Source organism: Homo sapiens, chromosome 21 (genome assembly GCF_000001405.40).
Source record: "Homo sapiens chromosome 21, GRCh38.p14 Primary Assembly".
Lineage (NCBI taxonomy): Eukaryota > Metazoa > Chordata > Mammalia > Primates > Hominidae > Homo > Homo sapiens.
Window position 1 is genome coordinate 30,460,547 of NC_000021.9, and position 16,807 is coordinate 30,477,353.

The 16,807-nt window shown below is 35.5% G+C and overlaps 1 long non-coding RNA gene across 2 annotated transcripts in view; it reads right to left on the reverse strand.

The window, feature by feature from the left end:
• The window catches only part of LOC105372772 (uncharacterized), an 82,493-nt gene extending 67,331 nt beyond the window's left edge, over positions 1 to 15,162 (reverse strand). The window contains exons 1-3 of one of the 2 annotated variants that reach the window (XR_937653.3): positions 15,119 to 15,162; positions 13,474 to 13,529; positions 12,818 to 12,912 (exon numbers count right to left, since the gene is read on the reverse strand). This is a non-coding gene — a long non-coding RNA (uncharacterized LOC105372772). The remainder of the gene's footprint in view (positions 1 to 12,817; positions 12,913 to 13,473; positions 13,530 to 15,118) is intronic. The other variant, XR_937654.3, reaches the window with a different exon arrangement.
• Between the last annotated feature and the right edge of the window lie 1,645 nt (positions 15,163 to 16,807).

Consider the following 16,807-nt stretch of genomic DNA (forward strand, 5'->3'; position numbering starts at 1 on the left):
GATGGTCTCGATCTCTCCTGACCTCGTGATCCTCCCACCTCGGCCTCCCAAAGTGCTGGGATTACAGGCGTGAGCCACTGCGCCCTGCCAAGAGTTGCCTTCTTAAAAAGTCAAGGTATCACCATTCTTCCCCTTAAAGACATTCATTGGGTTGCCAATAATAATAGTAACAATAGTAAATATTTCTTGACAACTTAGTATTTGTTAAGACACATGATACACACTTTACTTCAGAAACCAAAAACTGTGGGTCAAAGTGGGCCTGCATCATTCATCGATTCACTCATCACTCATTTGTTCAGAGTATTTATGAAGCATCTTTGCATGTTAGTCACTGTTCTGTGTTTCTTCAACTGACATATGTTGATTGCTTCAGTATTTTTAAAAATTTGAATAGGTTTCAACATTTTTAAATGGAGAGATTAAAAGATATTTTGCTTAAAAAAAAAAAACAAAAACCCGTGAGGCACAGTATGACTCTTTCAGGACAGCAATCTATTTAATCTGTAGATATTTTCTTTCACCCTGAGATATTGTTTCCATTTTACTGCAGGTCATCACTTTCTTGTGAACTGAGCACTAATGACATTATAATTTTTCAGTATGCTTGCACTACTTTCTATTGTAAACATTCATATTTATTAAGCCATAGTCTCTAATAAAACTAATAATAACATTACTAAAAGGGCTCTATATTTTTTAAAAATATGAATGAGAGAACAATTCTTTGTGAAGGAAGAGGATTTCTACCTATTGAATATACTAACCAAATGTGTCGCTGTGGAAAATGAATGCGACTTAAGATGCCATTTGAAATTGACATACTGAGACTTTGGGTGTGGCTCCCTTTTACTCATTGGCTATTATTGTTTAAGCATGCGGTTTGGGATTTGCATGCTCTTTCTTAATTCTCACAACTCTTCATATTAGGTACTAGAAATCAGAAAAAAAAAAAAAAACACAAAACTTGTCCAAGGACACATACCTAATAATCTTTCAAGCCAGCACTCACGCTTAGCTCTGTTGAAGCCAAAGCCTGTGCTTTTTCATTAGAGTTCTTTCGTATGATAATCTATGATTTGCTTCCAAGCTACTTTTGCTGATTCATTTCTTCCCGCACTCCAAAATGTTCATTGCTTTCTCCTTATGTAGTACTTTTATATACTTTACTTTTGTTTGTACCGTTGTTCTCTTTTTAAATGTTGAAACGTTAGACTCTATCCAAGCCTGTTCTTACCTTCCTTCTCCCAGAAGTGGCCTGCTGTTCTGTGAGAGTGGTGCTTGCATTATGGTAACCATTTTTCTCTTTGTACCATGGGAACTCATCTGTGTTTCCTATGACTTGAGTACAAACTTCATTAAGTCAGAAAGTCAGCTTGTGGCAGATTTTGTTTTTAACGTAATACAGCATCCAGCCCAATTTTTTTTTTATTACATAGTAGGTACTCCATTAATGTTTATTGCATTCTACTTAATATAATTAGAGAGGGTTACCTATATAAACAATGTTTCAAGTAATGATTTCTACAATATTGCTCTCCTTTCTAACTTTATGGCCATTAACAAATATGGAATTACTTGTTACATGACACAATAATCATTGTATGTGTAACCTTCTATTTCTTTAAGAAATAGTGAATGGGTTCTAATGGGATTAGTGACTGACATTATATTTGGGGTACATGCTTAGTACATGTTCAATGAAATGTGAATTATTGCATCAATAAATAAATATTGAAACTTACAGGTAATCATAACTAGTTTAACATTGATGGTGGGGGTCAAAAAGTGTTTGTACTTTTTTGCCAATCCTTCATTGTTTCACTAAAGGAATGAGAATATGGTATACTCAAAGTGATGACTTTCTGAGACGTTCTACAATTGACTTTTCCTTATGAAAGCAGTGTTGCTAAGCAACACTTGTGCATTGGTATATTTCTTTCCCAAACTTTCTATCACAAGGACAGCCCAGGATTTTTTCAATTGTAATCACCGGACTCTCTTGAGAAGTAAACCACAACATAGCCACCAAGCTATGCTTCATAGTTTGCATTGAATTTGATGGAAGATGAACACTCCACTTGACCCCCAAATACGCAGGTGATTGCCAGCAGGGACAGTTCCAAAGTGCAAATGGAGTATGATTTATGACACACGTCAGAAATTACACCAGTTGCTGGTTTTCATTATGTTGCCTAACTCTGATCTGCATGAGGTACCTGCCTTACAAAGGGTATGCACTGGAAGGCTCATAAAAAATCATGTGTTCTGTTATTGAGACACAACTTCTGTTTCCTTCAAGTTTAAACGTCAAAAATCACCTGGCTGACAAATCTCTTTCTCTAGAATATTGATGCACTGTACACTAAGACTCTGGCATGCTTCCTCAAGGAAGAATAAGAAAAGATTTTCATATTAAATGTTTCCATTTTCCATGTGCCCTGACATTATACTATCCCCTTTTCTTTTAGTTGGCTAAGGTGAAAAGGCTGCAGTAGTTTCTTCTGTTAACCAGGAGTTAAATTATAGTAGTTTTACAAATTCTACACTGTTTAATAACTTTAAGAAAGAATTTTTGTTAGTGAATTATTTTTCTCAAACTATTAAACCGTATTCTTTTCCATGTGTTCTTTTTGTTCTTTTTTTTTTTTTTTTTTTTTTTTTGAGACGGAGTCTTGCTCAGTCGCCAGGCTGGAGTGCAGTGGCGCGATCTCGCCTCACTGCAAGCTCCGCCTCCCGGGTTCACGCCATTCTCCTGCCTCAGCCTCCCGAGTAGCTGGGACTACAGGCGCCCGCCACCAAGCCCGGCTAATTTTGTTTTGTATTTTTAGTAGAGACGGGGTTTCACCATGTTAGCCAAGATGCTGCCGATCTCCTGACCTCGTGATCTGCCCGCCTCGGCCTCCCAAAGTGCTGGGATTACAGGCGTGAGTCACCGCACCCGGCCCTGTATGTTCTTAAATATTTCTAATCTGTCATTTATTTTAATGGGAATTGTTCTCAGTAAGGTCCCAAAGATTCTTAGCAAACTAGCAGTGTAGCATAACACACAAAGCACGTGAGTCTTGGAAAACTGGGTCGTGAACATCTTAATTTGCAAGAGTTTCTACTTCAGTAGAAATGTCAGGCTTCACAGAACAAAGATTTTAGGCTTAGAAATAATGAAAGTTTTCGAAGAGTTTTATTCCAATCATAAAATGGCTCTCAGTTGGTCTATAAGTGATACTTAAAGTAGAAACTCCCAGCCAACTTCAAGTGTTTGGGCTCCAGAATAATATGATGAGAAACCAGAAGCAGTCTTACAACACAGCCAGGAGCTCAACTAGGTGATGAGGAAGACAGTGAGTGAATGGAAAGGTTCTGAAAATGAGTTTCCGAAGTGGTAAGAGATACCCCCTGGTGTACAGAAGGAATCACTGCAGCCTTTTTTTGCTTTGGTCAGCAACAACAAAAAATGACAAAGGTATGTCTATAATCATATCCATATTGGATATTTATAGGGCTTGTTACACGGTGAAAAAGTTATACAGATTCTGTCTACAACCATGATTTTTTCCCCTTCAAACGCTGTCTTCTTTATAACTCTTTAACAAACACCTCATTTATGTTACCTCTACTGGTGAAATCATCTGCCCTCTAGCAATGCTGAGCCACTTTTAGCACAGAGAAAGTGGACTTTATGAATCAGAAGATATTGTAAATTAGGAAAGCATGTTCTGTGAAGGGCAGCCAATTCTGTGAAAGCATGTTCTGTGAAGGGCATGTTCTGTGAAGGGCTGCTAATTCCCTTTTTCAGAGTTTACTCTCCTTTTGGATTATCCTTTAACATTTTATCCTTCCAAAGCCTAGCTCATCTCCCATGAAATGCCTTATTCTCCACAGCAGCAGGATTGTAAAATTTACCTTCCTTAGGGTTTGTGGCATTATACAGCTCATGATGAAAGAGATAAAGGTATGAGGAAGATGAGAGAAAAGTGGCTTCCTTACTTGACTGCTCCCTCTTCACCATATTCCACTAGATTGGGTTCCATTATTTTAACCCTGGATCTTATGAATTTGCCTTCAATAAAGTGACTTTGTTGTTAATTATCTACTCAGATTATGGCCTTTGTTTAACAACCAAACACAAAGTATTATTGGTATCCATACCATCTAAAATTAGGTATACTGAAAACAAATGCTATAGATAACTTCACAATTGCCTTATGCTGGAGGCTCCCTGCATGTTCTAGTAAAAAAAACTGATGATTTCAATCAAGATCCATTTTTTCTCTCTTTAATTCAGGGTCTTAGAACTCTATTGAGTTTTACCAAACTTATACTCAGTCAGTGAATTACTCTAATTAACCAGTGAAGACAACAAACTCAATCTACCATCTCTCTCAGCCCACAACTCATCCAGATATCACTCCTGATGCATGCTTTCTGGCAATAACAAGAAGTAGTAAGAAGAGCAAACATGGATTTTAGATCAAGATTCTAATCCTAATTTTACAACCTATTGGCTGTGAGGTCTTGGAAAAGTTACTTAGCCTCTCTGATTCAGTTTCTTTATTCTTACAATGGGAATCATAATGTTTTCAGAGTTTATGTAAGGCATTTAAAGTATGTGCTTAAATTAAGTAATCAATGGTTGTCCTATTTTGGTATACAATGTTTCTATTATTATACTTGTCACTTCTAAGTTTCTTAGCATATTTAATGCTAGTTAATCTCATTTCTCTTTTCTCCATCTATATTTTTCTCTCTATTAATTGTTTTGAACGACTCAATACTTTATAAAGTCACCCATGGACGTTTCAGTACCTTTTACTCAAACAGAAAAAGCAAAGAAGCGGAGAAGTGCACCAAGTGAGAACTGACAGAGTTATATAAAATTTTCCTTAGATCTAAAAATTTATACAAATTATCTAGCCCTAATCATGGTACTTCACAGTTTGATAAAAACCCTACTCATCTAAACAGGAGTTTATTAAACTTAACAGAAGCTGATTTTTAAACACTAAATCAAAGACAAATGTTGTGATTAACTTTCAGTGAGCAATTAGGTAAATATGAGAAACTAGTAAACTCCTTGTTTCCTACCCATTGTATGACAAGGGTAAAAGCAATTTAACAAAATATTTCTTTTGTTTCCTTTGTACTTCTCAGTTTGATGACTGAAGATTCAATTCTCTTCCTTTAGAGACTCAAAGAAAATACACAGGAGGGGATACATTTGAAATTATACCTTCAAAATGTCAGTGACACTAACTGATGAACACTTAAGCAGAAACAATCAACTTTAATACTTTTCAACACATATAAAAATATATTCCTGTTTTATTTCTTTCTTGATTTTAGGTTAGATTCTTAAAATCCTTTCAGCCACATTATCTGCATTCAACAAGGAATATATTCCTTTCAATATTGATACAGATGAAGATTGACACAAATATGTTAAATGGCCTGCAGGGATAGTCTTCACATATAAGGAAGAAAGTTTAAAGTCAGATGTAAATACACATGTGCATTTGTTCAAACATCAACACTTTACTTGATATTTACAAAACTGAGGAATATTTTTGACACTTATTGTTTCTGTCCAATTTGTTAAAATAATATTTTGTTGATTTTATGTGTTCTTCTATTTTCCATTTCTTCTATTTTTTTTTAACTTTAGAAACATACCATACTCTAGGAAGAACTTAGGAAGGCAAACATGTTATAAAGAAATTTTTGTTTGTTTTGAAAGTGTTTAATGGAAATTTTAGAGAAAAAAATGAGAAATTTAGTCACCTAAACGATGTATAATGAAGAAAGAAATTAGACAAATAAAAGAAAGTTGGGGAGTCTAAGGGTAATCCTGACAACTAGTATCTCATGAAAAAAAGAGACAAGAAACTCAAGGAGTTTCATGAAGTGGAAAGGTTTTTGTGCTTCTTCCATATACATTGTGTGTGTGTGTGTGTGTGTGTGTGTGTGTGTGTGTGTTTTCAGATACATATAAATATAATACAAATGGAATATTCAGTGTCGAATTGCATGTTTAAATGGTGGACTTTTTACGACATTCAAATAAATTTGTCCCGGTTGATTAGATTTGAGGCCCACTAGAATAACTAATTACTAAGCATCATAATTCAAGTTCATCATAAAGCATATGTTCACTTGTTTTACAGTAAATATCAATTCATGAAAGGAAGAAAAGTCTTAAAAATAAAAATCAGTTAACCCAAGTTATTTCAAGTCATAAATTTAAATACCTACTAGATTCTTCAGTGAACGCTGAAGAGCAGTTATTTTTATGGTTTTGTACCTTATGTAAACCTGGCGACATATATTTGACTTGAAACGTGTAGCACTTTTTAACAGATCTCATAAGCTACCTATTAGATAACCAGATGCATAATAAGACAGGCAAGCAGCATTATACACAATTCTCTTAAGACAAAATTAAAAATGCAAAAAAACCACATACATTATATAACAATAAGAATTATAAATAAGAATATAATAAGTACGTAATAAGTATGCTTAGCCCTTTTTCCTAAAACAAGAGGACTTACATTTTTAAAAGGTATTTGGCTTTATTTTCTAAGTGAAATTTGAATGTTCAAAAAGAAGTTCTGCTCAATAGTAATGGCAGAAATAAGATCATAGAATGTAACCTTGGGTGTAAAACTTGTGTAACACTTATATTTTACAGATGGGGAGAGCAAGCTTGATGACCTATAGAAACTTATACCTGCCACGAGCATCACCTGTAAATGATTACGATGTACTATACCACTCTTTGGAGTAAAAGTTGAAAAAAATCATCCACTGATAAAGTCACTTATAAAGTCACCATAGATTATTGACTGGTGTTTCCAAAAGGAAAATGAGATCGGTTTTTGTTAGAAGATTATTGTATCAGCTACATCATTTAAATTCACTTTGAAAGATACCCAGCCATTATAATCAGGTGACTATGGGGACAGCATATATTATTACTAAAAGCAAGAAATCATTCTTCATTTAGAAGGCCCAATCAACACCAAAGAAGCATGATTCTCACAAATTATTGCCTATTGAAACAATAATAAATAGATTCAAAGGAAACAATACAGAGGGAAAAATAATGCCTCACATGGTCATTATGAAAGTTACAAATTGAATACTGGAGTGAAGGTCAAGTAAATGTTAAAAAGTTAGTGCACAAACACAATCACCATGCTAAGTGAGCTGCAGGTAAAACTGACTTTCTAATTTGGAGGATTAGTACAATCAAAAGGGTCAAATAAGTTGTACATGATGCCATAATCTTGATGTTCATCGCTTAAATCTTTATTGAGATTAGGTTGCCATTTCTTTCAAGTCTTTTGTCATTAATATGGATTTTTTTTTGCCAAAGACTGAACCTTTTATAAAGCAAGAAAAGTATTAAAGAAAATTAATAAATAAATGAGTATTTCTCTACATCGTATAAAATCAATTTGTTTGATCATTTGCTTGGATTAATTTATTTTCAATGATACAGACTTAGTTTTAAAATAGCATTCCATGCTGCTCCTGAGTATTAGATACACATTTGCTTTACTTGTTTTAAATATTATGGTCTTTTAATATTTTCTACCACTAAGAATAAGAAAAAAAAAACTGTCCATACCAACAAAATACTCCCATAAAGAACCTGACTATGATATGCTCCTCAAATGAAAAAAATCCATCAGAAGAATAATGTCCTTTCAATAACTCCGTCACATCACATCTCACTCATTGAAAGCACCTTGTGAGTTTATTTCTTCCTTCCCATGGAAACCTCCTTTCACGTGGTATCTCTGAGGTCGAAATTCAGCAGCCTGGAAGACTCAATATGATGTGAAAGGTATCCAAGTTGAGATTTATTCTACAACAATTAAATACCAAACTAGTCATATTCCAAAATAGTTTGAGGAAAAAAATGTCATACTTTAAATATCCTGGCTCACAAACGATCAACACAGGTCCCAGGGATGGCACAAAGATGGTTCTAATTCAATGAATGCGGAATGTTAGTATCTTCTTAATGGATGTTGATCTGGTTACAGGGAATATGCACCTTACATGACCACAGAGAGGCCAGAATTTTATTTTTATCCTGTTTGCCAAGGTCTTTATCTCTACAGCCAAAATGAGAATGGTGATTTAAACAATTGAAGTCACAGTACTCACCCCAAAGCTTTTGTGGAAGCCTAGATTGTCAGTGACTGCAGCTATTAGGGAAATGAATTCAGCTGGGTAGAAAAAGCCACATGACTTGAGTTCAAATGTCACTCTCTGTTCTCTGTACAATAAAATTGTAAACCCTTAGAAGTGGGGCTGGTAAAGCCTACAGGCTTTACATCTCAAATAGCACATGAGCCCCTCGAACCCTTTAATATTCCCTTGATTCCAGGAAGGGAGGGCCTCTTGAATATTAACATGTTTGAATTTAGTATTCCTTTAATCAACTTGTGCCTGTAAGAGGTAATGTTTCCATTCTCAAAGCCTTGGCTTTTATCTGACCCCAACTGAGATCCCCATAAATTTACTCCATGACATGAGGTAATCCCTCAACTGTATTTCAAAAGATTGTTTTGCTTCACTAATTATACATGATGGCTTCTGACATTCTCTGTAAGAAGATATTTATGTAAACATCATGGTCTGTCCACCATTATTCAAAACCAACTTCTGTTAAAGGGTTAACCACTTAAGCTGAGTCCCTGGGATAGACACATCTCTTAACCTGGCAATAATAATCTTAAGAATAGTAAGTGTTTATGAATACTTATTATACGCCAGGAACTTTAGATGTTTTGATTCACTTAACACGATCCCCTATGAGGTAAGTATTGTTATTACCCTCATTTTATAGATGGCCTAGAGAGCTGAAGTAATGGAATGCCCGACGTCATCATGGCTATTAAGTAAGTGTGTGTGTTGAATCTGAATTTAGGTAAGCTGATTTCAGAGGCTATGCTTTTCCACTTCACTGAATTGCTGATTTATAGAGCTCGCCAGAAGGGGAAAAAGCAGACACCTCTTGATGGTGTTTTCTACAACACACTTAGATCACCTAAAGGCTTGGGGCATAATTTTTGTAGACATGGTTTATCTTTGTTGACTTCTTATCCATGTCCCTTTGATCTCCACCCTTTGCCCCTGCCACATCCATCCTGAAGAGGTCAGTCACTACGTGGCCTCTCTTGGGGGCTAGGTTTTATTACTGAGTCACTCCATCCATGTGAGTTTCTTCCCTTGACTCTGCATCTCTGGTTCCATGTGTGTTCCTCTGCTTTCTCCTTTTCCTCTCCCTTTTCCCTCCCAATATGTGGGTGGAAAGTATTCCAGAAGTAAATGGTAATAATGTACAGGATGGTTCTTTTCCCAAACCCTCAGGAAATGAATTTACAATTCTCACCATGACCACAAGTCTTAACCCTATGTGCTAGGCAAAGGTTTAATTCAGAGAATTTTAGTCACTTTAGAAAACTGGATAAATTGTTTGGGAGGTATAGTTAAAAAATAAATTAGATTTCAGTAGCACTCTTGTTACTTAACTAAGAGTGTGCTTATTTATATTCTGGGCTGAATCTGGTATGGAAGAAAATATAGACATTTGCTCTAACTTGGGCTCTGTGTCATTGACATTTATGACTTGTTTTTGTGAGGCTACTCAGTATCTAAGACTTGTTTCTGTTTAGGAGGAGACAGTACTGTGGCTCCCAATGCAGACCTTAAAGAGGACTAGATAATTCCTTTCATTGCTCCCAGTAGCGATGTCTTAGGCATTTGAATTAAGCTTGGCTAATCAACTGTCTCAACTGGTCTTGGATTTTTAGCAAAGTGACACAAAGACAAAAAACGGTATTCAGAATGTATCTAGAGCAGAGGTATCCAGAAGCAGAAAAAAATGGCAAGAGGAATGTCAGTAGTAGCAGTGCCCCACTCTAGTGGTGGCTAAAAAGAAAAATGGCAGTAATGACAAAAATAATATCCTAACAAGACTATTGCTGTGTCATTGATTTGGGTGCTATATTAGCTATATTGACAACCCTGGGTCGCATCCCACTTCTCAACCCAGTCTCCCAGATTTCCCACAGTTCGTCAAACTACCCATAGTCTCAGTAAAGTTTTTGCATGCTTATTAAATAGTCTGCCTGGTAGACAGGGCTTGTGTTTCAGTCTCTTCATACAGTACAGACTGTTGACATAAAAGTTCTAATAAATTACTGTACTTATATTTTCCATTTACTCTTTGCCTAGGAAGTAATCCAGGTGTTTCATATGAGCTGTTTAAATCTTTTGAGCAAACTATTTCCCTTATTATTTTAACATGAAAATAGAGCATATAAGGCATACAATTTAAAATGGGAACATATCAAGCTTAATAGCCATCTTGCATTGTAACCATGACTGATATAATAAAGTAATACATTTAGCTTTATGAATCTGTAATGATTTTCAATTCAAATGCATTAAAGTTGAGTAAATCTAGATTGCAAAGAAGAAGCTCATTATTGAGCAGGAGAGAAAGATAAGCAAACATCACATTATATGATAAAAGTGGTTGTGAGAAAAGAAAACGTGAAAAGAATACAGTTGAGGATAGGGTGTTTGTTCATTTTTCATGAACTATGATGTCAGAGTAGTTTTTGCACATTAAGACTTGCAAGATGAAAAGGTATTATGATGGGATGAAATAGAGACACCAGGTATTATAAAAGAATAAGTGCATTATAGTAATAATAATCATTATTATTATGGATATTGTCTACCATTTATTCTGCCTGGCCATTCTTTTGTACTTTGCAAATAATAGATCGTTTAGTCCTCACCACATTACAGGGAAAACAATGAGATTATTTTCAACTTGCGGATAACAAAAATGAGATTTAATGAGATAAAATAAATTTCCCAAGTTCAGAGAATTAATCCTCAGTCAAGTTAGTATTGGAATCCAAGCAGTTTGACTTGAACTTTGAGTTTCTAACTAGTAAGAATGGCACCTTAAGATGTAAGCAAAATAAAATTTGAGTTAGGAAAATCCTTAGTAGAGACTACTGTGATAAGAGATGAAAAAACATAAAATAAGAAAGAAGAATTGGTGATGCAGACAGTGTGCCATCTTTGAGAAAAATATAAATGTCAAGGTTAAGGGGAATTAGTAGCCAATAAGTGAGGAGAGGGACATAAATGGATAATTATTTTCACAAAAGTTTAATTTTGCAGCACTTGGTGGATCAAAATGCTGGAAAGGGGTTTGTAGAGAAGCAAAAAGGGTGCATGTGTGGGAAGAAGAATCTATTGGTTAGAATAAGTTTAAGCTCAGCTGTCTATGGAGACATGCATTTGGAAACATTCTTCTGGTAGATAAATATCAGAAGAAAGACCGGTTTGGGAGAGATGCCATATATGGCAAATAAAAATACAGGGTGCCCAGTTAAACTTGAGTTCTGAATAAATAATATTTTGTTTAGCATAAGCACGCTCTATATAATATTTTAGACATACCAAAAATGTTTCTATTACTTATCTGAAATTCTAACTTCATAATTTGTTCATTATTGTGTCTGGCATTCCTATAGACTGGGAATGTAGATTCGAGCACCACAACTTGCAGAGAAGTTGTCAACTACTGCTTAGAGTAAAGGAGGTTAGCTTTAAATAAACAAAGGCTAGACAGTGGGTTCTCTGGTAGAATACAAAGCTTTATCTTTTCCCTCTCATCTACTCTCTTTGCGTTATAACTTTGAAATGTTCTTTCACTCTGATTCCTGGCACAGTCATATAACATGGTGTTACCAGCCAAAAGGCAGAATTGATGATGTTCTGGTTCTGAGCATGAAAGTTCTTGCAAGAATCTAGTTTGCTCTCATACTCTTGCCATCTTCATGAGAACACAGTAAGTAGATCTAGCCTAATTTTAGAGTGAGAGATTGATGGAGCAAAGCCAATTCCCACTTTTACCCCAGTCAACAGTAAGTCAAACCCCAGTCATGTGAGCAAACAGCAAGGCTATCTTACTTCCCCCAGCCGTTGGATGGTTGAGCATGAACCATCTTATTATACAGCTTATCGTTGTATGTAACACAGCAGTATGATGGCAATAGAAAATGGAAACAAAGTCAATTATAATAGTGTCAAAATAAAAGTAGCAATAACTAATATATATTGATTGCAGACTATATGACAAGCTATGCTTTGAGGTTTTGTATGCGTTACTCATTTAATCCTCACAAGGATCCTATGAAATTGTTGCTATTGTTACCCCAGTTTTACAGATGAGAACGCTGAAATCCAATGGGTTTAAGTAACTTTTCCAAGGTCACCTTGGAAAGTAACAGAGCTGACAGTCTGACTTAGGTGAATTTGCCTTCAGAAAGTTCATGCCTAACCACCTAGTGACACTGCATCTCAACAAAACTTTGAGGATGACACTGGATTTGCCAATAAAGAAGTTGTTTGGAACATTTACTGCATTAGCTTCAACTAGGTGACAGACTATTGGAGGAGGATGGAAGACTGCACTAGAAATGAGGTACAGAGGAAGAGAGAGAATGCAGAGGGGGTGCAAGTATTCCTTTAGGTCATTCAGTGACATGAAGAAAAGGGGAAGAGATGACAGTCAACTTAAAGATAGACCAAGAGGACACTGAGGTTTTAACCTTGGTTTCTTTGGTTGTGTTTTTCATAGGACTTTGTGTATGTCTGAAGATAGTATATTGCACTCAGACTTCCTGGGTTGAAAACCCAGCTTTGCCTTGTATAAACATCCAACTTTAGGAATTTTTTAGCCTCTCTGAGCTTTACTTTTTTAGCATACAAATACCTCAAAGAGTTTCTAAAAGACTGAAGCACAGTATCCCAGAATATAGATGGTGGTTCCAGGTAGGTCAATTTCAGGTGTCTTCCTACAAGGGGAAACTCCAAATAGAAGGATAGGTAATAGTGAATAAAACAATAAGCCACAAGATAAGAAAGAGAAAAAAAGGAAAAATGAATGCCTCAAGTCTTACAGGGGAGAAGGAAAACTTCTTTCTCAGAGACAGTTGAGAACAAAAAATGGGTGAACATAAATCTGCAAAGTGAGAGAGGGAGATCAAGGTATATCTCTCCTGATGATACCATAGAAGAATTTTGACTGGCACCTCTACTTCTTAAATGTGACCAGTGACATCCTATGATTAAAACATTGGACCTTCTTTAGGGGCATTTGCCTCGCCTTCACTGCTCAGGTGCACAAACTTATGCTTAGAGTCAAAATACTTTTTAATTTATCACAGGTTATAATACCTCACAACTCACTATTGCATGGTTTGTGGAAGTTATTTAAATTTTCCAAAGTGCAATTTCCTCACCTATTCCACAGGAATAACAAAATCATATACCTTATAATGTGTGAAGTTTATGTGTGACATGTCATGAAAGGCAGAAAATAAATATGAACCATCTTTACTAGCTATATTGCAGTTGCAGTTGGCTTACGTTTATGCCTGTAAACTTAAAAGAGCGTCCAGCACATTGCAGAAGTTAATGTCTACCTATGGAAAAGATAAATAAAACATGATATTAATTTAGCATAAAAGTAGAGCTTTTCTACATTTTCATCAATAAAATCATATTATTATAAGAAAAGGACACAGGATTCAATGAGGATACTGGCATATAAATTAATAACCAATGGTTTGGCACTATGATAGATTTATTTGGCACATATTTTATGAAATACTTTCTGTAAGCCAGGCATTATTCTAGGCCCTGTGGATGCACAGATGAGTAAAAGAGATTAAATTTCTGCCCATATGTCGCTTCCATGTCCTGGGGAGATACAAAATATGTGAGTCAACTAGCAAGTGTATAGCATCTCTTGGTGATAAGTGCTATGAAGAAAAGGCTATATAAACGACCACAGGCCAATAGCATCTCAGGGAAGACCTCTATGCAAAAGCGACATTTGTGCATGATGCTGTCAAGTGACTGCTGGAATCTGGAAGGCATCTCAAGAGAAGATACTTAAATTTTTTAAATTTTTATTTTACTTTAAGTTCTGAATACATGTGCAGAACGTGCAGGTTTGTTACATAGGTATACATGTGCCATGGTGGTTTGCTGCACCCATCAACACAACATCTCAGTTTCAAGCCCTGCATGCATTAGGTATTTGTCCTAATGCTCTCCCTCCCCTTGCTTCCCACCCCCTGACAGGCCCCTGTGTGTGACGTTCCCTTCCCTGTGTCCATGTGTTCTCATTGTTCAGCTCCCAATTATGAGTGAGAACATGCTGTGTTTGGTTTTCTGTTTCTGTGTTAGTTTGCTGAGAATGATGGCTTCCAGCTTCATTCATGTCCCTTAAAAGGACATATCTCATTCTTTTTTATAGCTTTGTAGTATTCCATGGTGTATATGTGCCACATTTTCTTTATCCAGTCAATTCTTGATGGGCATTTGGGTTGGTTCCAAGTCTTTGCTATTGTAAATAGTGTGGAAATAAACCTACATGAGCATGTGTCTTTATAGTAGAATTATTTATAATCCTTTGGGTATATGGGAGAAAATGTTTGCAATCTACCCATCTGACAAAGGTCTAATATCAAGAATCTACAAGGAACTTAAACAAATTTACAAGAAAAAAACCAAACAACCCCATCAAAAGGCATGCAAATTATATAAACAGACGCTTCTCAAAAGAAGACATTTATGCAGCCAACAAACATATGAAAAAAAGCTCATCATCACTGGTCATCAGAGAAATGCAAATCAAAACCACAGTGAGATATCATCTCACACCAGTCATAATGGTGATTATTAAAAAGTCAGGAAACAACAGATGCTGGCGAGGGTGTGGAGAAATAGGAATTTTACACTGTTGGTGGGAGTGTAAATTAGTTCAACCACTGTGGAAGACAGTGTGGCGATTCCTCAAGGATCTAGAACCAGAAATACCATTTGACCCAGAAATCCCTTAAGTTAAATTTTGAAGATGAGTAGGAACTCTTTTTGAGAAGTGAAGAGCAGCGCATGCAAGGTAAAGGAGGAGCTAGTATAAAGGCAGATATTTAACAAGATTATGGATCATTTAGGTAAATACACATATTAATTCAGTCGGTGTTTGCTGAGTGTAATATCATACCTGATGAGCCAACTGCATGGTCCAGGCTCTTCTGTAACTTGCCTTTTAATAAAATTTCCTTCCATATCAGCATATTGAGCGCTTCATTGTTTTCATCATAATAGCAGCATTATGTGTCATTCCAGGGAGAGATATAAGGAGTCATTTTGAACAAATAACTTTTAACAAAGGGACTAAAGAAAGGTGGCAGGTTTTGAGTTTTGGAGATCAGATAGGAATAGATGAAAAGGTGCAGCCATAGTCCAAGTGGCAAATTATGACCATCAGCATTAGATAAAAGGTAAAATGAAATTGAATATATTTATAAAGAATTATATATTTTATGTATCTGTTAAGAAGATAGCACAAAATAGCTACCAATTGGCTATGGAGATGACAGAGGAGACATGTGAAGCTTCTCCATATTCTGACTTGAGTGGCTGTAGCGATCACAAATTGGTTGTCCTTGTCAACCAATTAAACAATAGAATCCACATGGTCTCTACAACCCATAGTAAGGTGCTTGGCAGAAACATAACTAAATATATAACAATATTAAGCCTTAGAATCTCCAAGTTAGTAGCTCAAACCATAGATGGATTCATAGCTGCAACCTAGTCCTCTAAACTTCAGAGGCCAGCAGTGATGTCTGTCAAACATATTTCCAATAAAAGGGAATACTTTTATTCAGATTACCAAATTGCTCAGGTATCCTGAATTTTTATTCTATACACATATCCAATACAATATTGATTCAATTGATCTTTCATAGTAATAGAGCATTTTTAATTGATTAAAGAGTTTTTATATTGATTTGCATTATTAGAGGTTTCTGTGACCAATCTGAGTGCAGTAGTAAGATGTGACCATGATTATTATGTCTGAAAAAACTTTTTCGGTGGAAGAAAGAAATTTTACTTTTTGTATCCATGTTTCAAGAAATTATTCATTCTCCAATTTTATCCTTTAACATTAATCTTGGATCCTAAATTATGCAATCACTATGCACAAGCATGACTAGGTACACATGACACTATTATACCTTCCTCAAAATTAGAATTTATAGTTTTCATCAGGAAATTCCCCCTCTACTTGCATTCATAAGAATTGTATGTTCTGTAGTATATTTTAAATTTTGAAGGTGAGTTCTACAGTATATCTTACTGATATACTGTAATAGAAATCAACAGAAATTCAGTTCTCCCAGCAGAACTACTTACTGACTGCAATTTAGAAATATCTTTCACGTTCCCAGCTTCCAATTCTTTAACAATCTAACCAAGAATAAAAACATCTTTTGCAATATACTTTTAAAAGCCATGACATTCAGGAGCATCACAAATTATATTTGGGAACAAATCAAATTTAACAGCACCTGGACAGTTTAGATCGGAAATCAAAAAGACCTTCAAGTAAGGCCAGCACTTAAACCTAATGAGGATGATTTTTGTTGTTTTTGCTTCCCTTTTTTGGTTTTCTAATTTGAAATAGAAAGTGTGGTGTAGTAAAAAGGTAACAGATATTCTATCTTCAAGGTCATCTTTAGTAGGATATAATGTCTGTCTGGAGAAAATTAGGTTGACTAGTCACATACTGTACATTCTAAATAATTGTTCTCTAAAAGCACCCACCATTTTTTATATGTTTATAAAGGGAAGCTTTATATATGCTTACAACCCTCATAGAGCAAATATAAATATGCAGACTAAT